Consider the following 25,519-nt stretch of genomic DNA (forward strand, 5'->3'; position numbering starts at 1 on the left):
GGCGGGGGGTGGGGCGCGCAGATAACCTGAGGTAAAGAGTTCGAGACTAGCCTGGCCAACTTGCTGAAGCCCCATCTTTACTAATAATACAAAATTAGCTCGATGTGGTGGCGCCCACTTGTAATCCCTGCCACTCGGAAGGCTGAGGTATGAGAATTGCTTGAACCCAGGAGGTGGAAGTTGCAGTGAGCCAAGATCATGCCACTGCACCCCAGCCTGGGTGACAGAGTGAGACTGTCTCAAAAAAGGAAAAAAAGAAAAAATAAATAAATTTGTACAGTCTTCATTTTTACGGTTCAAAAATAACTTTCATTTATAAAAATCAATTAACATTTACCTTTTCCTCTCTTCCTTTATTCTGTTCTTTCTTTTCACGACAACGAACAGCTTTCCCTCTGTCATTGTGAACATTCTGTGCAGATGAACGGTGAACTCTGACAGTTGTACTTGGACGATTACCATGTGATTTAGGGTCACTGTACTGAGAAGATTGGCGTTTTCTAGGTCCTGGTGAGGGTCTAATCAAACAAAAACTCATTAATATCATAATCAACTCCACATATGGATGAACACACATACTGTGTAAGTTAAGAGTCTATGAACTAAAGAAGCCAATGCAACAACTGAACACAAGACACGACTGAATAAACTTCAGGATGTTGAAACCTAAGATCTAAAATTTAAATCTGGGCAAGGCGCGGTGGCTCACACCTGCAACCCTAGCATTTTGGGAGGCCAAGGTGGGTGGATCACTTGAGGTCAGGAGTTCAAGACCAGCCTGGCCAACATGTTGATACCCCGTCTCTACTAAAAATACAAAAAATTAGCCAGGCGTGGTGGTGTGCACCTGTAATCCCAGCCACTCGGGAGGCTGAAGCAGGACAATCGTTTGAACCTGGGAGGTGGAGACTGGAGTGAGCCAAGATCATGCCACTGTACTCTATCCTGGGCAACAGAACGAGACTCCGTTTCAAAAAAATAAAAATAAAATAAAATTTAAATCTGATATATCTGTTGGTGATTTAATTAAAGGAATGCAGTATAGTTATATTACAGAAATAATGGAGGGGAAGTAATGGTCACCTCTACTTAGAAAGGAAATTGTTGTATATCAAAGATGAATGCATCTGATTGTTGGAAACTGAAAAAAAATTATCAGAGAAGAGAGTTTTATCGAGACAACCAGAATACAATACAAGTATTCAATTCACATTTATCCAATGGTATGTATGTAATTTGGTACCATTTATTTAGAATATACAGATTGAGTAACCCTTATTCAAAATTCTGGGGACCAGAAGTGTTTTGAATTTTGGATTTTTTCAGATTTTGGAATATTTCCATATACATACCAGCTGAGCATCTCTAATCTGAAAATCCACAATCTAAAATGTCCCAATGAGCACTTCCTTTGGCATGACCTTTGAGTGTCATGTTGGTGCTCAAAAAGTTTCAGTTTTTGAAACACTTTGAATTTTCGGATCAGGGAAGCTCAATCTATACCATAATTTTTGTGTTTTAATTAATAAAATTTAATCATTTTCCCATTTAAAAAACTGATATAGCACTAGCTATGAACAGTTACTAGAACTCATGTTCAGTGCTTTACATTTACATACATCACCTCATTTCACCTTTATGTATTTATTTTTTATTATTATTATTTTTTGAGACAAGGTCTTGCTCTGTCACTGCAGCCTTGACCTCCCAAGCTCAAGCAATCCTCCCACCTCAGCCTCCCGAGTAGCAAGGACTACAGCCACATGGCACCACACAAGGCTAATTTTTGTATTTTGTAGAGACAAGGTCTCACTATGTTGCCTAGGCTAGTATCAAACCCCTGGGCTCAATCGATCCTCCCACCTTGGCCTCCCAAAGAGCTGGGACTACAGGCGTGAGCCCCTGTGTTGGTCCTCATTTCATCCTTATTTCTATAACAGAATTCAGACTTCTCAAATATCTGTTAGGCTCCTACTCTGCTCCCAGATTTGGTTGCAGCCATTTACAAGGGGGAAAACAAACAAACAAAAAAGGAGTCCTATTCTCAAATAAACCACAGTATAGTTAAACAGACAGAAGCTATGTAAAGCTAGGCACGTATACTAGATGGTGTGAAACAGACCTAGCACCATGGCAATGGGAATGGCCTCATGAAGACAGAAAAGAAACTGGGACTGGAAATGCAGGAGTTGAACTAAACAAGAGGGTACAATTATAGACAGAACATCAGTAAAGAAAAGCAAAGAAACAAAAATGAGCTTAATCCATGTAAAGGATAATAAAGACACCAGTCTAACACATAATGCTGAACATTAAGTGATAATACTGAGCAGAAATGGTTCGGTCCATAGAAGATATGAATACCAGTTCAAGAGGCTTAGCTTTTAGCTAACTGCCAACAAGGATCCACTGAAAACATTTTAGAAAGATTAGTCTAATACTGAACATGATATACTGATAAAGAAAACACAGAAAGCAGTGAGATGTTTGTGATTACAAATATCACTGAGACATGAGATGAGGGCCTAGTTTAAGGGAGTAACAATGAGAAGAGTCTCAGAGACACTCTAGTAGTAAAGACACTTCAGGCCGGGCACGGTGGCTCACAATCCCAGCAATTTGGGAGGCTGAAGTGGGTAGATCATGTGAGGCCAGGAGTTCGAGACCAGCCTGGCCAACATAGCAAAACTCCATCTCTACTAAAAATACAAAAAATTAGCTGGGTGTGGTGGCACGCACTGGTAATCCCAGCTACTCAGGAGGCTGAGGCAAAAGAATCACTTGAACCCAGGAGGCAGAGGTTGCAGTCAGCCGAGATTGCACCACTGCACTCCAGCCTGGGAAACAGACCACGACTGTCTCAAAAAGAAAGAAAAGATACTCCTAGGCTGGGTGCGGTGGCTCACGCCTGTAATTCCAGTACTGTGGGAGGCCGAGGCAGGTGGATCACCTGAGGTCAGGAGTTCAAGACCAGCCTGGCCAACATGGCGAAACCCCGTCTCTACTAAAAATACAAAAATTAGATGGGCATGGTGCTGTGGACCTGTAATCTCAGCTACTTGGGAGGCTGAGGCATGAAAATCGCTTGAACCCAGGAGGCAGAGGTTGCAGTGAGCCGAGCTCACGCCACTGCACTCCAGCCTGGGTGACAGAGCGAGACTCCATCTCAAAAAAAAAAAAAAGACACTCCCAGATGTGGAAAGTTGAGAATGAGAATTTGGGAGGATGATAACACCAAACTAACGTGTATGTGAAGCAATGATGGGGGTTCAATTTTGGATTCAGGAAGTATTTCTGTGTATGTATTTTTCCCTTTGCTAGAGAAATAATACAAAATAGACACTGACATATAATAAAGTATAGTTGGCCTTCCATATCTGCAGATTCCACAATGTGGAGTCGACCAATTGCCAATGAAAAATATTTTGAAAATAAAGATGGTTGAGTCGGTACTGAACATGTACAAACCTTTTTTTGTCATTACTCTCTATATAATATAGTGAAACAACTATTTATATAACATTTACTTTTTTTTTTTTTTTTTTTTGAGACGGAGTCTCGTTCTGTCGCCCAGGCGGGAGTGCTGTGGCGCGATCTCCGCTCACTGCAAGCTCCGCCTTCCGGGTTCACGCCATTCTCCTGCCTCAGCCTCCCGAGTAGCTGGGACTACAGGCGCCCGCCACTGCGCCCGGCTAATTTTTTGTATTTTTAGTAGAGACGGGGTTTCACCGTGGTCTCGATCTCCTGACCTCGTGATCCGCCCGCCTCGGCCTCCCAAAGTGCTGGGATTACAGGCGTGAGCCACCGCGCCCGGCCAACATTTACTTTTACATACAATGTTACATATAACATTGTATTAGGTGTTACAAGTAATCTAAATATGATTTAAAGCATACAGGAGGATGTGTGCAGGGTATGTGCAAATATACACCATCTGGCTGGACGCAGTGGCTCACGCCTGTAATCTCAGCACTTTGGGAGGCTGAGGCAGGTGGATCACCTGAGGTCAGGAGTTCGAGAACAGCCTGGCCAACATGGTAAAACCCCGTCTCTACTAAAAATACAAAAATTAGCCTGGCCTGGTGGCAGGCGCCTATAATCCCAGTTACTTGGAAAGCTGAGGCGGAAGAATCGCTTGAACCCGGGAGGCGGAGGTTGCAGTGAGCTGAGGTCATGCCACTGCACTCCAGCCTGGGCAACAGAGTGAGACTCCATCTTAAAAAATAATAATAATAATTTCAACAACAACCCTTACTGTCATAGACTTACATACGTGTGTGTGTATAAGCAGTGCATGAAACAGTACATCAGGTAATATTAAGTGCTATCAAGAAGAATAAAGAAGGGGGCCAGGCATGGTGGCTCATGCCTGTAATCCCAGCACTTTGAGGCTGAGGCAGGTGGATCATTTGAGGTCAGGAGTTTGAAACCCGTCTGGCCAACATGGAGAAACCCCATCTCTACTAAAAATACAAAAATTTGGCTGGCCGTGGTGGCTCACACATGTGATCCCAGTACTTTGGGAGGCCAAGGCAGGTGGATCACTTGAGGTCAGGAGTTCAAGACCAGGCGGACAGATCACTTGAAGTCAGGAGTTCGAGACTAGCCTGGCAAATATGGCGAAACCCTGTCTACTAAAAATACAAAAAAATTAGCTGGGCGTGGTGGTGCATGCCTGTAATCCCAGCTACTTGGGAGGCTGCAGTAAGCCAAGATTACACCACTGCATTCCAGCCTGGACGACAGAGTGAGACTCCATCTCAAAAAAAAAAAAAAAAAAAAAATTGTTGGGTAATTATTCCAGCTACTCAGGAAGCTGAGGCATTAGAATTGCCTGGACCCAGGAGGTGGAGGCTACAGTGAGCTGAGATGCACTATTGCATTCCAGCCTGGGTGACAGAGTGAGACTCTGTCTCAAAAAAAAAGAGAAGGGAAAGGGGCTACAGGATCATCAGGGGTGGTTTTTAGGTGGCAAAGTCAGAGACAGACTTTCTGAGGTGACAACTGAGTAGAGACCTAAATGAAAGAAGGGAACAGGTCATTCAGCACTGGAGCTGAGGGAAAGGCAGGTGAAAGGAGTGAAGCATTTGTGGGCTGGGCTTGTTCAAGGCCACAGCACAGTGCCTGAGGGAGAGAGCTGTAAGAACTTAGGTTCCAGAGGCTGTGGGGAACCAGGTCTCATAGGGCTTGAAAGACATGAAAACTCTGGGTTTTATTCTGTGAGATGGGAAGATATTTGAGGGACATCAGCTGACATTTGAAAAGAATGTCACATCTAGTGGCATTTAAGCTATGTCTAACCTTTTCTATATAAGGCTTTAATGAACCTCCTTGTACTCACATTTTTTTTTTTTGAAACGGAGTGTCTGTCGCCCAGGCTGGAGTGCAGTGGCGCCATCTCGGCTCACTGCAAGCTCCGCCTCCTGGGTTCACGCCATTCTCCTGCCTCAGCCTCCAGAGTAGCTGGGACTACAGGTGCCTGTCACCATGCCCGGCTAATTTTTTTTTTTTTTTTTTGTATTTTTAGTAGAGACGGGGTTTCACTGTGTTAGGCAGAATGGTTTCGAACTCCCGACCTTGGCATCCGCCCGCCTCGACCTCCCAAAGTGCTGGGATTACAGGCGTGAGCCACCGTGCCTGGCCTGTACTCACATTTTTTGTGTACAATTCTAGAAGAGAATACTGGATCAGTTGAATCTGTTCTTTAATGGTACTAAAATTTAGCTGATCATAAGGTTAGGATCACCAACATAGGTGAAGAAAGAATGACTCTCGGCCGGGAGCATAGGCTCACGCCTGTAATCCCAGCACTTTGGGAGGCCAAGGCAGGTGGATCACGAGGTCAGGAGTTCGAGATCAGCTTGGCCAACAAGGTGAAACCCCGTCTCTACTAATAATACAAAAATTAGCCGGGCATGGTGGCACACACCTGTAGTCCCAGCTACATGGGAGGCTGAGGCAGGAGAATTGCTTGAACCTGGGAGGCAGAGGTTGCAGTGAGCTGAGATTGTGCCACTGCACTCCAGCCTGGGCAACAGAGCGAGACTCCATCTCAAAAAAAAAAAAGAAAAAAAAAAGAATGACCCTCTTAAGCATGAGTACAAATAAAGACTAATAGAAAAATAAAAAGAATATTAAAAGATGCCCAGTTAAGAGAGCAAGTAAAATAAATTATAGGAAGAAACAGATGCCACAAATAAAGTCAAAGAGGAAAACTTACCAGTAATCTAGAGCATTCAAAATCAGGAACAGAAAACGATACAGAAGAAAGCGAGAAGCAATAAGAAGGAACACCATTTAGGGCTTAACTTCCCACCACCCCTCAGAGGAAATCCTCCCTCTCTGCTTGTGAGACTGAGGTGACCAAATACTTCATTAAATTCAGAATCAACTGATTTCCCACTGGGAACATCTATTTGTTGGAAAGATCTTACCAATAACTGAGAGGAGTTACAGGACTGTTAGAGGCTGAATGTTTGTGTCCTCCCCAAAGTTCATATGTTAAAGCCCCAGTGCGCAATATGAATATTAGGAGTAAGGAAGTAAGTAAGAGTCCCTGATGTGAAAGAGCTTACTCACTCTCTCTGTCATGTGAGCACACAGACAGAAGGTGGCTGTCTGCTCAGGAAGAGAGCCCTCACCTGGAACCAAATTGGCCACATCTTGATCTTGGACTTCCCGGCCTCCAGAAGTGTGAGAAACAAATGTATGTTGTTTAAGCCACCCAGTGTATGGTATTTTATTGTGGTAGCCCAAGCAGACTAATACAAGACCCAAGTGATGATTCTCCAGAAGGAGAAAAGAGCAAGTAAATAAGAATAAAACAAATTAACAGACAAAAGCAAAAACACAACTTGACTCATCTATTAGTTCTACTTCTGAAATTAGGGGAAAAAATTATAAATGTGGAAAAATTTTTACAACCATTCAGTGCAACTTTATTTATAATAATGAAAAAAGAAGGGAAAAAACATTAAGAGCATGGTTAACTATATATAGGTTACATACCAGTCAGAACAGTGGCAAATAACTCTTAAAAAACTGCAGAGAAAAAGATCTGACATGGTATATAAATCATAAATGTTTAAAATATGAAGAGCAAATTACTTAACCTATCTTAGCTTATCCTCATCAGAAATTGGGGCTAAAAAAATTAGTACCTACCTTCTAAGGTGGTTTTGAGAATTAAATAATACATGTAAAACAACAAACACAGTACCTGGCACACAGTAATATGCAATGATTGTTGACTATTATTAGGATTTTTCTTAAAAGAGGGTACAATGTTGTAAATTATGGATATAGCACACCTGCAACTATGAAAATAATGCATAAAAGAACAGAAGGAAACAAGCTAGGATGACTATGTGATTTTCCCCCTACTTCAATGAATTTTTCTATTTTTCTTTAATGAGCTACTGTGCTTTAGTGAACTATTATGTACTATAACAAGAAATGTAATTATGTGAAAGTGCGTATGAGGCAAGGGAAAAATTTAGTAAATATCCAAAGGATATCAGGAGTCAGTAACAGAACATTAGTACAGTCCTTTTATGTGGAGATTAAGAAAATAAAAGTTGCGGCTGGGTGCGGTGGCTCACGCCTATAATCCCAACATTTTGGGAGGCCAAGGCGAGTGGATCACCTGAGGTCAGGAGTTCAAGACCAGCCTGGCCAACACGGTGAAACCCCGTCTCTACTAAAAATACAAAAATTAGCCGGGCGTGGTGGCACGTGCCTGTAATTCCAGCTACTTGGGAGGCAGAGACAGGAGAATTGCTTGAACCGGGAGGCGGAGGTTGCAGTGAGCCGAGATAGCGCCACTGCACTCCAGCCTGGGCGAAAGAGCAAGACTCTGTCTCAAAAAAAATAAAAATAAAAATAAAAGTGGCTAAGAAATAATCAGTACTCATTAATTGATTTTAAATGTCAAGAACATGATGGTATGGGTCTTCTCAAAATGTGGCCTATGGACCACCGACATCAGAATCACCGGCAGATTCCTGAGTTCTACCTGCTATCTACCATATCAGACTCTCTGGGAGTGATGCCCCTAAATCCACGTTTTTAATTAGAGATTGTTAGGACTGCTACAGCAGAGAGTGCCAGCTTTGTAATCATTATTATAAAACACAATATATCTAGGTTCAAATCCTAGCTCTACCATTTATCAGTTTTGTGATAGTGGGGAAAAGTTACCCAACCTTATTGTACCTCAGCTGTCTTATCTGAAATACAGGGAAAATATGACTTATTTGGAAGGCTTATTGCAATAAAATAACACCTATAGCCTAAAATAGTTCAGGACACTGTGGGTGTATAATGCAGTACCTGTATTATAAAATACAACCAGGCCGGGTGTGGTGGCTCACGCCTGTAATCCCAGCACTTTAGGAGGCCAAGGTGGGTGAATCACGAGGTCAGGAGTTCGAGACCAGTCTGGCCAACATGTTGAAACCCTGTCTCTACTAAAAATACAAAAAATTAGCTGGGCATGATGGCAGGTGCCTGTAATTCCAGCTACTTGGGGGGTTGAGGCAGGAGAATTGCTTGAACTCAGGAGGCAGAGGTTGCAGTGAGCCGAGATCATGCCACTGCACTCCAGCCCAGGTGACAGAGTGAGACTCCGTCTCAAAAAACAAATAAATAAAATAAAATAAAATGTAACCAAGGCTGGTCCGAATGTAGTGAGTTATCTCAATTGATTGTTCACAGTCAGTTACAGATCAAACTCCTTGTTCTATTCTTCCCCTCCTTCTCACTACTGCCCTTAACTAGTCTTAAAAAAACAAAAAAAACAAAAAAAAAACAAAAAAAAACACAAGTAATCAGAGTTGCAATGACAAAATGTTAAAACTGAAAACAATCTGATCAACATCTTAATGCAAGGTTAACGGGCAATGAACCTGGGAAGTCATAAGTGTTCTTTCTAGAAAGGCATGACACAGTCAATATTTAAATCTATAATACAAACTAGGAAATCTATTATGTAAGTGAAATAGATAACATCCACCTGCACACTTGTCAGTTGAAAAATGTGCAGTAAAACTATGCATGATTGGCTAGTTACAGTATTTCAGTAAATATCAGTATCACTAGTTGTTCATCTGCTGGCACTTGGTAGTAGGAAGTTGGGGAAAAAAAGCCAGAGAAAACCCTAAAATTCAGAACATTTTATTTTTACTGTTCTCTATGAATTAAAAAGCCAATTTTTTCAATTTTAGCAAATTTAGAAAAATTTTCCATTTTTCATTATAGCTTGATGAAAAGAAGTATTCTGTGATCCCTGTTTGAGAACCACTGTTAGTCTAACTTCCTCTCTTTGCGTAAGAAAAATCTGAGGCCTGGCTGGGCACGGTGGCTCAGGCCTGTAATCCCAGCACTTTGGGAGGCTGAGGCAGGTGGATCACGAGGTGAGGAGAACGAGACCAGCCTGGCCAACATGGTGAAACCCCGTCTCTACTAAAATACAGGTGGTGTGTGCCTGTAGTCCCAGCTGCTCAGGAGGCTGAGGCAGGGAAGTCACTTGAACCCGGGAGGCAGAGATTGCAGCGAGCCGAGATCGTGCCACTGCACTCCAGCCTCGTGACAGAGTGAGACTCTGTCTAAAAAAAAAAAAAAGAAAAAAAAGAAAAATCTGAGGCCTAAAAAGGTTTTATTATTTTCCCAAAGCTACAGAGAGTGGCAAAGACAGACACGGAGCTTGGATATTTCAATTCCTAACCCCATTCTCCTTCCACAAGATAACACTGTCTCTACCACTGTAAGGTCATTCACAAAAGCATATTTTTAAATTATTCCTACCTAAATCTTATTTTTTGAAATAGGTCAAAAAGGCACAAGGTTCAAGACCAGTGAGTTATAAAAGAGAGAACGTTCAGTAAAGAAAACTCCCTCCCATTCCTGTCTCTCAGCCACCCCATCCTCCTCCTAAATATAATCAATGCTATAAGCTTCTTGGGATAACTGGTTTCTTAAAAGGTTTCCACTTACCTTCGTTCAACAGGTACAGGCATGGACCAGACTTCTCCCTCAGAAGCTGGAAGGTCATGCTGTGCCGCTTTCAAGGGAGTGCTGTCCAGTTTAAAGCTCTCTAGTGTTTTCATGATATCTTTAACATGTTTAGCTTCCACATTTATTTCCTGCCAAACCTGATTTCAAAGAAGAAGATGGATGTTTAAATTTCTATAATATATCACTGTCAAAATTAAATGAGGGCCATTTACTAGAGATGTTACAAAACTCCATTTTGATATCAGATATCCAGTAAACCACATCAAGATATTCTATCAAAATGTTAATAACAGTTTATTAAATTTATGTTTTCAATTGCAATTTTTTTTTTTTTTTTTTTTGGAGATGGAGTCTCACTCTGTCGCCCAGGCTGGAGTGCAGTGGCGTGATCACTCTCGGCTCATTGCAAGCTCTGCTTCCTGGGTTCAGGCCATTCTCCTGCCTCAGCCTCCCGAGTAGCTGGGACTACAGGCGCCCGCCACCACGCCTGGCTAATTTTGTGTATTTTTAGTAGAGACAGGGTTTCACCATGTTAGCCAGGATGGTCTTGATCTCCTGACCTCGTGATCCACCCGCCTAGGCCTCCCAAAATGCTGGGATTACAGGCGTGAGCCACTGCGCTCGGCCCTCAATTGCAAAATTAATTCTGATAAAATGAATTAAAACATCCAGGATAGGAAACATCCACGCCTGTAATCCCAGCACTTTAGGGAGGCTGAGGTAGATGGATCACTTGAGCTCAGGAGTTTGAGACAAGCCTGGCCAACATGGTAAAAACCCCATCTCTACTAAAAATACAAAAAGTTAGCCAGGCATGGGGGCAGGCACCTACAGGCCCAGCTACCTGGGAGGCTGAGGCAGGGGAATCTCTTGAGCCCAGGAGATGGAGGTTGCAGAAAGCCAAGATCACGCCACTGCACTCCAGCCTGGGCAACATAGCAAGAATCTGTCTCAAAAAAATAAAAAATAAAAAAAAAATCCAGGCTAACTAAATCATACTACTAATTTATATTCTTATTTAAATTGCATAGCCGGGTGTGGTGGCACATGCACGTAATCCCAGCTACTCGGGAGGCTGAGGCAGGAGAATCGCTTGAACCTGGGAGGCGGAGGTTGCGGCAAGCCGGAGATCACACCATTGCACTCCAGCCTGGGCAACAAGAGTGAAACTCCGGCTCAAATAAATAAATAAATAAATAAATTGCATAACAGGCCAGGCGCGGTGGCTCACACCTGTAATCTCAACACTTTGGGAGGCCAAGGAGGGCAGATCACCTGAGGTCAGGCATTCAAGACCAGCCTGGCCAACATGTTGAAACCCCATCTCTATTAAAAATACAAAAATTAGCTGGGTGTGGTGGCGGGCACCTGGAATCTCAGCTACTTGGGAGGCCGAGCCACAACAATCGCTTGAACCCAGGAGGCGGAAGTTGCAGTGAGCCGAGATCGCACCATTGCACTCCTGCCTGGGCAACAGAGCAAGACTCCATCTCAAAAAAATAAAATAAAATAAAATAAAATAAAATAAAATAAAATAAAATAAATTGCATAACAAATTGAAAAGTTAGGCATAACTTTAAAGTTCTACAAGAATAATTAGCTGGGCATGGTGGCCCATGCCTGTAGTCCTGCCTACTTTAGAGGCTGAGGTGAGAGAATTGCTTGAGCCCAAGGGGGAAAAAAAACCATCAAAGCACAACTTGTGAAAGTTTCATTTTTGTCAAACTTTTATTTTTATGTTTTAGAGACAAGGTTTCATTCTGTTGCCCAGGCTGTACTACAGTGGCACGATCATAGCTCACCATAACCTCAAACTCCTGGGTTCAAGCCATCCTCTCACCTCAGCTTCTCAAAGTGCTGGGATTACAGGTGTGAGCCACCATGCCCAGCCCTACTTTGATAATTTTTATTCTGTTTAATTAACTTTTAAAATGCTGATTAATCCCAATTACCCTGATTTGATCATTAGATATTGTATACAGGAATCAAAATATAATGTGTATGCCCAAGATATGTACAACTATTATATATCAGTAAATAATTTCTAAAAATCAATACAACACTGATCAGAATATACTAATTTTATGGCTAATGGGTCACAACCTACAGACTAAAATAGGTCTCAATTCATATGCAACCAAGGTATTTTTTTAAAAGCAGTCTTTTTTTTTTTTTTCAAATATTTTTTAGAGACAGGGTCTCATTCTGTCATCCAGTCTGGAATGCAGTAAAATGGCCCTAGTTTTGAGAGTAAGGCTCCACCTCAAAAATAAAAGAGAAAAGGAATCTTGACGCAATTTAAAAACTAATCTTGGGCAACATAACAATAACCCATCTCTAAAAAAAATATAAGCCAGGCATGTTGGTTTGTGCCTGTGGCCCCAGCTACTCTGGAGGCTGGGTGGGAGGATTGCTTGAGCCTGAGGAGTTAAGGCTGCAGTGAGCCATGATTGCACCACCATACTCCAGCCTGGGGAACAGACCGAGACTCTGCCTCCAAAAAACCCTCAAAAACCTATATATAGTTTTGATTCAACTGTATTATAGTAATGGGTCTTAACTCAGCCTAAAAACTATATATGGTGATGGTTGTACATTATATATGTATTTAATGCCACTGAACTGTATACTTAAAAATGGCCAAGGCCAAGTGCAGTGGCTCACGTCTGTAATCTCAGTACTTTGGGAGGCTGAGGAGGGCAGATCACCTGAGGTCAGGAGTTCCAGACCAGCCTGGCCAACATGGCAAAAACCCCGTCTCTACTAAAAGTACAAAAAAATTATCTGGGTGTGGTGGCACACACCTGTAATTCCAGCTACTCGGGAGGCTGAGGCAGGAGAATCACTTGACCCCAGGAGGCAGAGGTTGCAATGAGCCGAGACTGCGCCACTGCACTACAGCCTGGGCAACAGAGTGAGACTCCGTCTCAAAACAAACAAACAAACAAAAAACAGTAAAGTGTTATGTATATTTTACCACAATAAGAAAATGGTAGGCCAGGCATGGTGGCTCATGCCTGCAATCCCAGCACTTTGGGAGGCCGAGGCAAGCAGATCACCTGAGGTCAGGAGTTTGAGACCAGCTGGCTACATGGTGAAACCCCGTCTCTACTAAAAATACAAAAATTAGCTGGGTGTGGTGGTGGGCTCCTGTAATCCCAGCTACTCGGGAGTCTGAGGCAGAAGAATCACTTGAACCCGGGAGGTGGAGGTTGCAGTGAGCTGAGACCGCGCCATTGCACTCCAGCCTGGGCAACAAGTGAGAAAATCCATCTCAAAAGAAAACAAACCAGAAAATGGTAAAAAATAAAAATAAAAATAAACTATATATATAATATTGAAATGAAATTTAAGATGATAATGTTTTGCTTTATAACTTAAATGATTTAATCTTAAGTACCTTTAAACAAAAGCTTAGACTTAAGTAAAAGTCTTTGGCCTAACAACAAAAGATCTAAAAAGTCCTTCACTGACAAACTTAAGACTCCTTATGAAATAAAATATTTACTAGGCCGAGCATGGTGACTCATGCCTATAATCCTAGGAATTTGGGAGGCGGAGCCAAGAGGATCATTTGATCCCAGGAGTTCAAGACCAGCCTGAACAACATAGTGAGATGCCATGTCTGTAAAAAATAAATAAATAAAAGATAAATAAAATAAAATAGTTGCCCTTTCTGGTAATTACATGGATATGGTAAAGGATATGGAGGGACAGATATAGGAAAATAGATGAAGTTCAAAGAGATAGGCTGTTTCTCTCAAAAAAATTAAGGACAAATATTGAACAATATTTAAAAAGCAGCTCAGCAGAATCTGAGGTATAATATTCTATCTAGAAGACCACCTCAAAAAGACTATTACTTTCATTTTTTTTTTTTGAGACAGAGTCTTGCTCTGTTGCCAGGCTGGAGTGCAATGGTGCGATCTCGGCTCACTGCAACCTCTGCCTTCTGATATCAAGTGATTCTCCCACCTCAGCCTCCCAAGTAGCTGACATTACAGATGCCCGCCACTATACCCAGCTAATTTTTTTGTATTTTAGTAGAGATGGGGTTTCACCATGTTGGTCAGGCTGGTCTCGAACTCCTGACCTCAGGTGATCTGCCCACCTCAGCCTCCCAAAGTGCTGGGATTACAGGCGTGAGCCACCATGCCCCGCAAGACTTATTTTCTTAACCTTTTTTTCCTCTTTGACATAGTTGAGCCTTGTTAGAAATACCACCCTCCACTGGACCTGTAAGTTCTACAATTTCCAATTTTAAATTTTTGTTAGTCCTCAGTAACTGAAGTTTCTCAATGGGATTCAACATAATCTGCTTCATAAAGTTCTATTATACAAGGAATATGAGGCCAGGCATGGTGGCTCACACCTGTAATCCCAGCACTTAGGGAGGCTGAGGTGGAAGGATCACTTTAGCCTAAGAGTTTGAGACCAGCCTGGCAAACATAGGGAGATCCCATCTCTACCAAAAATTGAAAAATTAGCAGGTCACAGTGGGGAACACCTGTGGTTCCACCCACTCAGGAGGCTGAGGTGGGAGGATTGTTTGAGCCTGAGCCTGGGAGGTCAAGGCTGTAGAGACTGCACTCCCTCCTGGGCAAGAGAGCAAGACCCTCTCTCAAAAAGTTTTTTAAAAAATATGGTACCTGTGAGATTCACAAGCCATTTACAGTTTCGACAATGGCTTAATAAAGTCTACTCTATTTTTACGAAGTAAAAATCTGATCAAAAAATGTCAAAACCATTGTTTTAAAAAACTCTTGGCTAGGCGTGGTGGCTCATGCCTGTAATCCCAGCACTTTGGGAGGTCAAGGTGGGCAGATCACCTGAGGTCAGGAGTTCAACACCAGCCTGGCCAACATGGTGAAAGCCCGTCTCTACCAAAAATACAAAAATTAGCTGGGTGTGGAGGCAGGCGCCTGTAATCCCAGCTACTCGGGAGGCTTGAACCTGGGAGGTGAAGGTTGCAGTGAGCCGAGATCGTGCCACTGCACTCCACCCTGGATGACAAGAGCAAAACTCTGTCTCGAGGAAAAAACAAAACAAAAAAAACCCCTCTTATTAGATTCCAGCAATTAGAATTAAGTAGAACTCATAATACTGCTGATGGTGAAAGTGGATTATTATTCATATAATAAAGTGTCAAGTAATATTATATAGAAATCTGTGTAATAACTCACATACTCATGTTTTGTTTTGTTTTTTATTTTTGAGACAAGGTCTAGCTCTGTTGCCCAGGCTGGAGTGTAGTGGTACAAGCATAGCTCACTGCAGCCTCAATCTCCCAGGCTCAAGTGATCCTCCCACCTCAACCTCCCTAGTAGCTAGGACTACAGGCACACACCACCACATCTGGCTAATTTTTTTATTTTTGTAGAATGAAGTCTTGCTATGTTGTCTAGGCTGGACTTGAACTCCTGGCCTCAAGTGATCCTTCTGCTTTGGCTTTCCAAAGTGCTAGGACTACAGGAGTGAGCCACTGTGTACTGTGCTCGGTAGTCATACAGTCTTAACATGTAACTACATACAGCATTGACATCTGATCTAAATTTTCTCTTCCGAGTACTTAAGCCATTAAAACATACAGCAGCCATTACTCTCACCTGTTGCCATTTCTGCTGGAGGTATGTATCTTTGACTGAGTACAGATACTTGTTCATTTGGTCAAGAACTCCCTGATAATAGACCATCGCAGAGTCATAGTTTCCCAGCAATGCATATTCACGAGCCAATTTTACATTCTCACTAATCATAAGAAGACTCATGTTCAACTGTAAGCTAAAAAGAAGAAGAAAAAAAGAAACACTTTAGGTTTACATGTCTCTTAAAAATAAGTATAGTTATTAAAAAATACTTTCCAGGGCTCCCTCAAGAAACAATCACACATACCACACTTCCCATCTCTATATGTGTGCTCATGCTATTTCACTCCTTTAAAAAAAACATTGTTTTTTTTTTTTTTTTTTTTTTTTGAGACGGAGTCTCGCTCTGTGGCCCCGGCTGGAGCGCAATGGCATGATCTCGGCTCACTGCAACCTCTGCCTCCCGGGTTCAAGCAATTCTCCCACCTCAGCCTCCCAAGTAGTTGGGATTACAGGCACCCACCGCCATGCCCGGCTAATTTTTTTTGTATTTTTGTAGAGATGGGGTTTCACCATGTTGGCCAGGCTGGTCTCGAACTCCTGACCTCAGGTGATCTGCCCGCCTCGGCCTCCCAAAGTGCTGGGATTACAGGCATGAGCCACCGCGCCTGGCCTCAAAGAAATATTTTATTTAGGAGGCTAAGGCAGGCAGCTCACTTCAGGCCAGGAGTTCAAGACCAGCCTGGCCAATATGGCGAAACCCTGTCTCTACTAAAATGTAAAAACTAGCTGGGCGTGGTGGCACATGCCTATAGTCCCAGCTACTTGGGAGGCTGAGACACAAGAATTGCTTGAACCAGGGTAGCAGAGGTTGCAGTAGGCCAAGATCGTGCCACTGTACTCCAGCCTGGGAGATGGAGCAAGACTCTGTTTAACAAAACAAAACAAAAAACAGGCCCGGTGCGGTGGCTCACACCTGTAATCCCAACACTTTGGGAGGCTGAGGTGGGTGGATCACGAGGTCAGGAGATCAAGACCATCCTGGCCAACATGGTGAAACTCGGTCTCTACTAAAAATACAAAAATTAGCTGGGCATGGTGGCACGTGCCTGTAATCACAGCTACTCAGGAGGCTGAGGCAGGAGAATCACTTGAACCAGGGAGTCGGAGGCTGCAGTGAGCCGAGATCGCACCACAGCACTCCAGCCTGGCAACAGCATGAGACTCTGTCTCAAAAAATAAAAAAATAAAATAAAATAAATTTAAAACATTGTTTTAAAAAAGTTCCCACATTCAAACCCTCCCTATTGTCAAAGCCCAGCTCAGATGGCAGTTTTCCTAGTATGTCTACCCCCTGAACTCCTCAGTTCAAAATAAACTCTCCCTCCTCTAAAGTCCCCTTGCACTTTACTGTGACTTTCATCCCAAGACACTTGTCTACTTCAAATTACAGTTTCTATATATGTCTTATCTCTAGTAGACTGTTATCTGACAGTAGGATTTGCATCTGAAAGGTGTGAGACTATATGATCCTTGCATGACACACATTTTATTAAACATCTGCAGAATAAATAGTGAATATTAGATACATTTTTTGAAGCAGTGTGGATTAGCAGAAGGCGTATGTATTTTGAAGTTAGAAAAATCTTGGCTAGAATTATAATTGTGCCACCTTAATCAAGTCCCTTAACTTTTTTCTAAGCCTGTTTTAATATCTGTGGAACTGCCATAGCAACTACTTTCAGGAGTTACGCTATAAACAATAAATGGCTATTTAAAGTACTAAGCATACTACTTGACAAATAGTAGGTCTTCAATAAATGTTAAATGTGTCTGCCATGAAACTTTCTATATATGAGAACCTAATCCAACCTTTGAACCTAGGAGTTCAAGACCAGCCTGGGCAACACGGCAAAACCCCATCTCTACAAAAAATACAAAAATTAGCAGAGCATGGTGGTGTGTGCCTGTAGTCCCAGCTACTCAGGAGGCTGAGGTGGGAGGATTACCTGAGCCTGGGGAGGTCAAAGCTGCAGTAAGCCGAGATAGTGCCACTGTACTCCAGCCTGGGCAACAGAGACAGAGTGAGACTGTGTCTCAAGAAAACATTAAAAAAAGACAAAAAAGCTCCAGGCCCAGATGATTTCTGTAAGTATGGTGGGGGTTTTTTTGGGTTTTTTTGGGTTTTGTTTTTGTTTTTTTGAGATGGAGTCTTACTGTGTTGCCAGGCTGGAGTGCAGTGGCGCAATCTCGGCTCACTGCAACCTCTGCCTCCCAGGTTCAAGCGATTCCCCTGCCTCAGCCTCCAGAGTGGCTGGGACTACAGCCATGCATCCACCACGCCCGGCTAAATTTTTGTATTTTAGTAGAGATAGGGTTTCACCATGTTGGCCAGGTTGGTCTCGATCTTGGGACCTCGTGATCCGCCCGCCTCGGCCTCCCAAAGTGCTGGGATTACAGGCGTGAGCCACCATGCCTGGCCTCGGGTATTTTTGTTGTTGTTGTTTTTGTTTTTGTTTTTTTGAGACGGAGTTTTGCTCTTGTTGCCCAGGCTGGAGTGCAATGGTGCAATCTCGGCTCACCACAACCTCCGCCTCTCGGGTTCAAGCGATTCTCCTGACTCAGGCTCCTGAGTAGCTGGGATTACAGGCATGTGCCAACACGCCTGGCTAATTTTGTATTTTTAGTAGAGACAGGGTTTCTCCATTTTGGTCACGCTGGTCTCGAACTCCCGATCTCGGGTGATCTGCCCACCTCGGCCTCCCAAAGTGCTGGGATTACAGGTGTGAGCCACCGCACCTGGTCTGGCCTCGGGTTTTTTTTTTTTTTTGAGATGGAGTCTCACTCTGTCACCCAGGCTGGAGTGCGGTGGCATGTTCTCGGCTCACTGCAAGCTCCGCCTCCCGGGTTCATGCCATTCTCCTGCCTTAGCCTCCCGAGTAGCTGGGACTACAGGCGCCCACCACCACGCTCGGCTAATTTTTTGTATTTTTAGTAGAGATGGGGTTTCACCATGTTAGCCAGGATGGTCTTAATCTCCTGACCTCAGGATCTACCCGCCTAGGCCTCCCAGAGTGCTGGGATTACAGGTGTGAGCCACAGCGCCTGGCCTGCCTTGGGGTTTTTTTTTAACCAAACTTCTAAACAGAAATAATTCCAACCACATAAAAGTTGATCCAGAAAACAAGAGAAAAGCTGAGCAACTCTTTTTTATGTGGCTGAAATCATCTCAACTGAATAAGAACACAAGACCCATTTCACTTATGAACATGGAAATCCTAATATTAGTTTACCTACAATGCATCAAGACACACACCACATGATCAAGAAGGGTTTATCCCAGAAATGCATGGATGACTTAAGATCAGAAAATCTATCACTGTAATTCTTCACATTAATGGACAAAAGTACCTCACAAGAAAATGAGGACAGAGCATAAAGGACAATTCACAGAAGGGAAACCCAAACAGCTAACAAGCACAGACAGGAGTGACCAATAAATACAAACTGAAGCCATGAGAAACCTCTTTTTATTCTTTTATTTTTTATTTTTCTGGAGACAGAGTCTCACTCTGTTGCCCAGGCTGGAGTGCAGTGGTGTGATCTCGGCTCACTGCAACCTCTGCCTCCCAGGTTCAAGCAATTCTCCTGCCTCGGCCTCCCGAGTAGCTAGGACTACAGGCGCTCACCACCATGCCCAGCTAATTTTTGTATTTTTAGTAGAGATGGGATTTCACCATGTTGGCCAGGATGGTCTCAATCTCTTGACCTTGTGATCCGCCCACCTGGGCCTCCCAAAGTGCTGGGATTACAGGCATGAGCCTATGCGCCTGGCCGAGAGACCTCTTTTATTTACCAGACTCAAAAAAGCAATGATACTAAGTATTGGCAAGGATTTGGGAAAAAGGAAATCTTTACATCAATTTGCAGGAATAAACTGGCATAGTCATTTTGGAGTGCAATCTGGCAGTACTTGGGGAAATTATGTATGCATGTATATGTACATAGACACACACATACACACACATATATATGTATATATACACCCCATGACCCAGCAATCCCACTCTTGTGTAAATCTTCCAGAGAAAGTCTCACACAGATCCACAAAGGAACTTGGTTTTGGACATTAATGACAGAAATCTTTGAGAAATCAAGTAGAGTCAATCTATTTATTCCCTGCTAGGGGAAATATGGTGGATACAGACCACATGGTACCATGTAGCAGACAGAAGCAATGAATAAAATTTACATATAGCAACATGGATGGATCATCAAAATACAGGGTTGGCTAAAAAAAGGTCTCAGACATAGAACAAGATCTAAATCCCAATGTCATTTTATAAATTAAAAATACATATGCTATATAAAATACTCATTTTTAAAGGATGCATACATATCCAAGAAAGTACCTTAAATATATTAGAGAGTCTATGGAAGGTGAGGAGGAAAATATGTGAGTGGAGAAATTGCTTATGACAAGTAGGAGAGAAACAAAAAATAAATATAACAAAAGAAGGGCCTTATATCCATGGATAATCATAGGGAGCCTCTAAGATGGCACTCAATGACCTTTGCCTCTTGGTATCTGTACCCTTATATAATTACTACCCCTTGAATGTGTGCCTGTAACAAATAACATAATACCATTTCCGAGATTAGACTATGACTTGCATCTTGCTTGCTGTCTCTTGCTGGCCCCACTCAAATGGAATACCAGCTCCACAGAGTGAGCTGCCTGGGCAGAGGCTCATGTGGCAAAGAGCTGAGGCAGGATCCAGGCCAACAATCAGTGAGGAACTGAGACCCTCAGTCCACCAGCCCCTGAGGAACTGAATCCTGCCAACAACCATGTGAGTGAGATCAGAAGTGAATCTTTCCTCACTAGAGCCTTGAGATGACTACAGGCCTGGCCAATACCTGATCACAGCTCTGAGAAACACCCTGAATCTAAGGCATCCAGCTAAGTCATGCCCAAATTCCTGACCCAGTGAAACAGTGAAAGAGATAAAAAATGTCTGTTGTTTTAAGTCACCAAGTTTTGGGATAATCTGTTATGAAGCAATATAGCTATGAACTAAGGTCTATGAGTAACTCAAGACTGGGCATCTGAGCTCCAAAAGAAAAGGAATAAAATCCTATCACCTAAATCTTGCCTCCCTGGATTCATGACCACTGATCATATTCTATCTTAATAAAAGCCTAAAGGCCAAGGACCATATCTCTCTGTTATTTACTGATACATCTCTAGCACCTAGAACCATGTCCTCAAATGTAGATCTCAATCAACCTTTGAATGACTGAATACTGCCTAGTTGTTGTCCTTTTTTTTTTTTTTGAGACAGGGTCTCATTCTGCAGCCCAGGCTGGAGTGCAGTGGTGCCATTACAGCTCACTGCAGCCTTGATCTTCTGGGCTCAACTGATCCTGAGTAGCTGGGACCACAGATGTGTACCACCACACCCAGCTAATATATATATATATTTTTTTTTTGGTATGTTTTGTAGAGATGGGGATTTCACCATGTTGCCCAGGCTGGTCTTGAACTCCTGGGCTCAAGCGATCAGCCCACCTTAGCCTCCCAAAGTGCTAGGATTACAGGCGTGAGCCACCATGCCTGGCCAGGTTTTTGTTGTAACTACCAAGAGTTCGTAACCTTGTCCAGTTCCTGACCCTCAGCATGGTCACATTCTTGATCCTCAGCTCATCCCTTCCAAGCTGGGATTACAGCTTGATTCTTGTGTGATTACTTCTGCCCTGAAGCCATCCATGCCCTACAGAGACACCTAGTCTGGGCAAGGGTGTTAGAAAAGTATAATTGGGACCCGCTGCTAAAAGTATATAGTTGTTCTAGATGAGCTTGGATGTCAAAAGCCTTTCATGTCTTTTGACATGAAAGCCTCTCTCCCTCTTTTCCTTAATAGTCTCCCTGGAGATCTTTCTTCCCATTTTCCCACTAAAAAAAATCTAAAATAGTCAGGCATGGTGGTTCACGCCTGTAATCCTAGTACTTTGGGGTGCCAAGGTGGGAGGATTGCTTGAGCCCAGGAGTTCAAGACCAGCCTGGCCAACATAGTGAAACCCTGTCTCTACAAAAAATACAAAAAATTAGCTGGGCATGACAGGGCACACCTGTAGTCCCAGCTACCAGGAGGTTGAGGTGGGAGGATCACCCAAGCCCAGGAGGTCAAAGATGCAATGAGCTGTGATCACACCACTGCACTCTAGCCTGGGTAAAAGAGTAAGGCTCTGTATCAAAAAAATAAAATAAAATAAAATAAAAATAAATTTAAATTAAGTTGTTACTTATATATAGGTGGTCCTCGTTTTTTTCTTGAGGGCCATGATTCAACGGCCCAAAACTCATACAAGTCCCTCCAAGCCTTCTTTAAAGGTTCCATGTTTTGAACTCTTTCTAGTCAGATAAAATTCTTTAGAAGCCAATGAATTGATATTTTCTAACAAACATGAATGTAAAGTCTAATCCAAGGCCACATTAACAAATGACTTGAAAAATCCCTGATTATCAAAGAAACAATGTGCTTGCAGAAAATAGTATTAAAGCACTCTTAGTTCCCTAATTGTTAGCCGAAAATAATTTTCCCCATTCCCTTATTACTCTCTAAGCCCAAAACATCCTTCTCGAATGTCACAACTGTAAATTTATGAAATTATCCCAATTTTCAACAATATATCTTTATCATTGCTAAAATTCCACTGCAGGAAGACTAGAAACTGGCTGTATTAAGCACAATATCTGGCAATATTTGAAGAATTGAATCCATTTGAAATAAAAAGCTGGCCGCGCGCAGTGGCTCACGCCTGTAATCACAGCACTTTGGGAGGCCGAGGCAGGTGGATCACCAGGTCAGATCAAGACCATCCTGGCTAACACAGTGAAACCCCATCTCTACTAAAAATACAAAAAATTAGCCGGGCGTGGTGGCCAGCGCCTGTAGTCCCAGCTACTTGGGAGGCTGAGGCAGGAGAATGGCATGAACCGGGAGGCAGAGCGTGCAAGTGAGCCAAGCTCGCGCCACTGCACTCCAGCCTGGGCGACAGAGCAAGACTCCATCTCAAAAAACAAAAAACAAAAAAAAAAAAAAGAAAGAAAAAAAAGCTGACTGACTCAGTGTAAGCACCATGAACTATAAACACAATCTATTGGTTCAACATTAATAGAACACTTATAAAGATGAGATTGCCCCAAAATTCAGGCTCTTGGTTACACAGATTATTAGAGAGAAGGATAACCATACACTATGCCTGCTTTATTCACAGCAAGTTTTTCCTTTACATTATTCTAACAGAACCACCCTTTTGCTTACATGCCTTGAGTATTTATGAGTTAGCTAATGACTAAATTAACTTACTTAGAGTAAGCAAGATGCAATGTGAAATTTTAACTCAAGTGACAGAATCAAATTTTTAAAAATACTGAAATCGCAATTTTACAGCAAATTTTCTAGCAATATAGTATGTGATGCAGTGCTGTCTCTCCACAGAGAAAGTTTTTTTTTTTCTCCTCTAGGATTAGGAAAAAGAAGTGATCACAGAGACTGAAAAAGAACAGGCAAAATATTGAAATATCTGAGTTCTAAGATTCTTATTCTCTCTCTAAACAACAAATACAGGGCCCTGCCTATTTCACACCTAAAGAGGATACCTTACCCATTTAATTTTTAAAGGACTCAGGCTGGGCTCCACTTATTTGCAGTTTTTTTTAACATAATGTGCATGGGTCATTCATTCAAGAAATATTAAAGGAACACCAACTAAGTTGCAAGGAATTGCACTGAAGACAAAAATAAGACAGAATTAGACCTTGAAATCCTTGAAGTTTAATAGAAGGGATATCACCTTATTTATTCTAGGTGGGTTTTCTTTGCTTAGTAAGAGAAGACAAACATAGAATATTATTAAACACAGACTAAAAAATCAGCAGCAATGTTGGAAGGCTGAAAGTGTTTTTTAAATACCTCTCTGTAAAATTTACCTCCTAAAACAAAAAGATCACGAAGCCCAATCATGCATCTTCCTGAAGGCATTTCAGTAAAGCAAGTGTATATGACTTCAAAAGTGGCCATACATTGGTAAGTAATTTTCAGAATGTTCATCTCTGGGATATGAAAGAAACCACATGCTAATTTATAGTCAGCCACTGATGATTACGAATAAGCACAATAAATGAATGACCCATGACCAATTACAGCATGGCATACATTTTTCTTACCTTTATAACCATCATATGATAAATACTTAAGCACAAGAAAGTTACCACTATTTTTTAAAAACACCAAAAAGCAACCTGTTCAGAAAAAAAGTACATATAAAGTCCACTCTATTTGTACAGTAAACTTTCAGTTTACCCTAAACAAACAAATCAGTGAGTTTAATTATTAAAACGTAATTTAAAAGTCATATTCAAGCCCTATCGATAAACGCCACAAGCAAAAGCTATTTGGCATGTTATCAACACTGACCATATTTATGTGATAATACTATCTTTTTTAAACAGTCAAGTGGCTAAAAAAACCCAAACTATTGTTAATAGAAATTCAACAATGTTGTTAATAGAGTGAATTCAACAAGATTCTCTAATCCTCAATATTTGTCAGCATCTTGATACCAGTTTCAAAATGAGGTGGAGAATCCCTTGTGGACTACATAGCATGCCTATTACCTATAAAAATGTAAACGCTTCTTGAATAACCAACGCTATAAAGAAGCTTTATATAGCTTTTCATAGTCTAGGAATGTTGGGAAGTTGATCACTACTGCGTGTTTTTTTTTTTAAAGGTATTTACAGGCCACAACTTGTTAATGTTAATACAAAACAAAGTTTTGCTCCTATTTCTTGGTATAAGAACAAAAACCGGCCGGGCGCAGTGGCTCACGTCTGTAATCCCAACACTTTGGGAGGCCTAGGCGGGCGGATCACAATGTCTGGAAATCGAGACCAGCCTGGCCAACATGGTGAAACCCCATCTCTACTAAAATACAAAAAATTTGCCGCGCGTAGTGGAGCGCGCCTGTAGTCACAGCTACTCAAGGAGGCTGAGGCAGGGGAATCGCTTGAACCCGGGAGGCGGAGGTTGCAGTGAGCCAAGATTGCGCCACTGCACTCCAGCCTGGCGACAGAGCAAGACTCCGTCTCAAAAAAAAAAAAAAAAAAAAAAAAAAGAACAAAACCCAGCTCTTTTGGAAAAGAAAATAGGGCTTTATACTGAGACATTTAAGCCCGTAAAAACATTTCAAGAATCTGTCTTAACATCTACTAAGGTGATTATCATTGTGATTACGTGACAAAGATCTACTGCACCCATTCTAAAACATCGGGAATGTTTTCAGCAATAACTAGAGGTCTAATTTCAAAGAGGAAGACGTAAATTAGTGCTTTCAAGAGAAAAGAGCATCACTGTGCTGTTGGAAGTTAGTAACTAATATAAAAGCGGCCCTTCGCGGTTTTAACAGGAAACTATTTTTGATTAAATAAGAGCTTGAGATTATCCACTGTAAGGCACTTCAGGATCTACGTTTATCTCTAACTTTGTCATCACATTTGTATGAAACAACTGTTTCGAGGGAAAACTTTTCTAAAAGGTACCAACTCTAAACCAAAAGGCCCACAGGCCTTCCAGAGGACGCCGGGCTCTAGAATAAATAAGAAATAACATCCCCAACAATATCACTCGAACCTAACAAATTTTAAGAAAAGAAGTTGCCTCCCAATGTCATGGCCATCGGGATTTTTACCTGTGAGGGTTTCGGGGTGGGGGGCGTGAGCGGGTTCTGGAGAGAACCAGTCGAAAAATCGAAGAACTAAAAACTCGGCTGGTGACTTCGCTAACGACACAGATCAAAAGATGGGATCGACAGGAGCCCCCGAAAAGTCCTCCGCCTGACAGGATTCCTCAGGT

At 42.2% G+C, this 25,519-nt stretch overlaps 1 protein-coding gene across 6 annotated transcripts in view; it reads right to left on the reverse strand.

The window, feature by feature from the left end:
• KATNA1 (katanin catalytic subunit A1) overlaps positions 1 to 25,519 on the reverse strand; it is a 54,118-nt gene that overhangs the window by 27,893 nt on the left and 706 nt on the right. For 4 of the 6 annotated variants that reach the window (XM_047418111.1, XM_005266804.3, NM_001204076.2 and 1 more), the window contains exons 2-4: positions 15,621 to 15,795; positions 9,994 to 10,151; positions 338 to 518 (exon numbers count right to left, since the gene is read on the reverse strand). In XM_047418111.1, the coding sequence (XP_047274067.1) occupies positions 338 to 518; positions 9,994 to 10,151; positions 15,621 to 15,782 (501 nt within the window). In that variant the 5' untranslated portion in view covers positions 15,783 to 15,795. Of the gene's footprint in view, positions 1 to 337; positions 519 to 9,993; positions 10,152 to 15,620; positions 15,796 to 23,595; positions 23,719 to 25,355; positions 25,479 to 25,519 lie in introns of those variants that run through there. The other 2 variants (XM_017010207.3, XM_017010210.3) reach the window with 2 other exon arrangements.

Source organism: Homo sapiens, chromosome 6 (genome assembly GCF_000001405.40).
Source record: "Homo sapiens chromosome 6, GRCh38.p14 Primary Assembly".
NCBI classification, from domain to species: domain Eukaryota; kingdom Metazoa; phylum Chordata; class Mammalia; order Primates; family Hominidae; genus Homo; species Homo sapiens.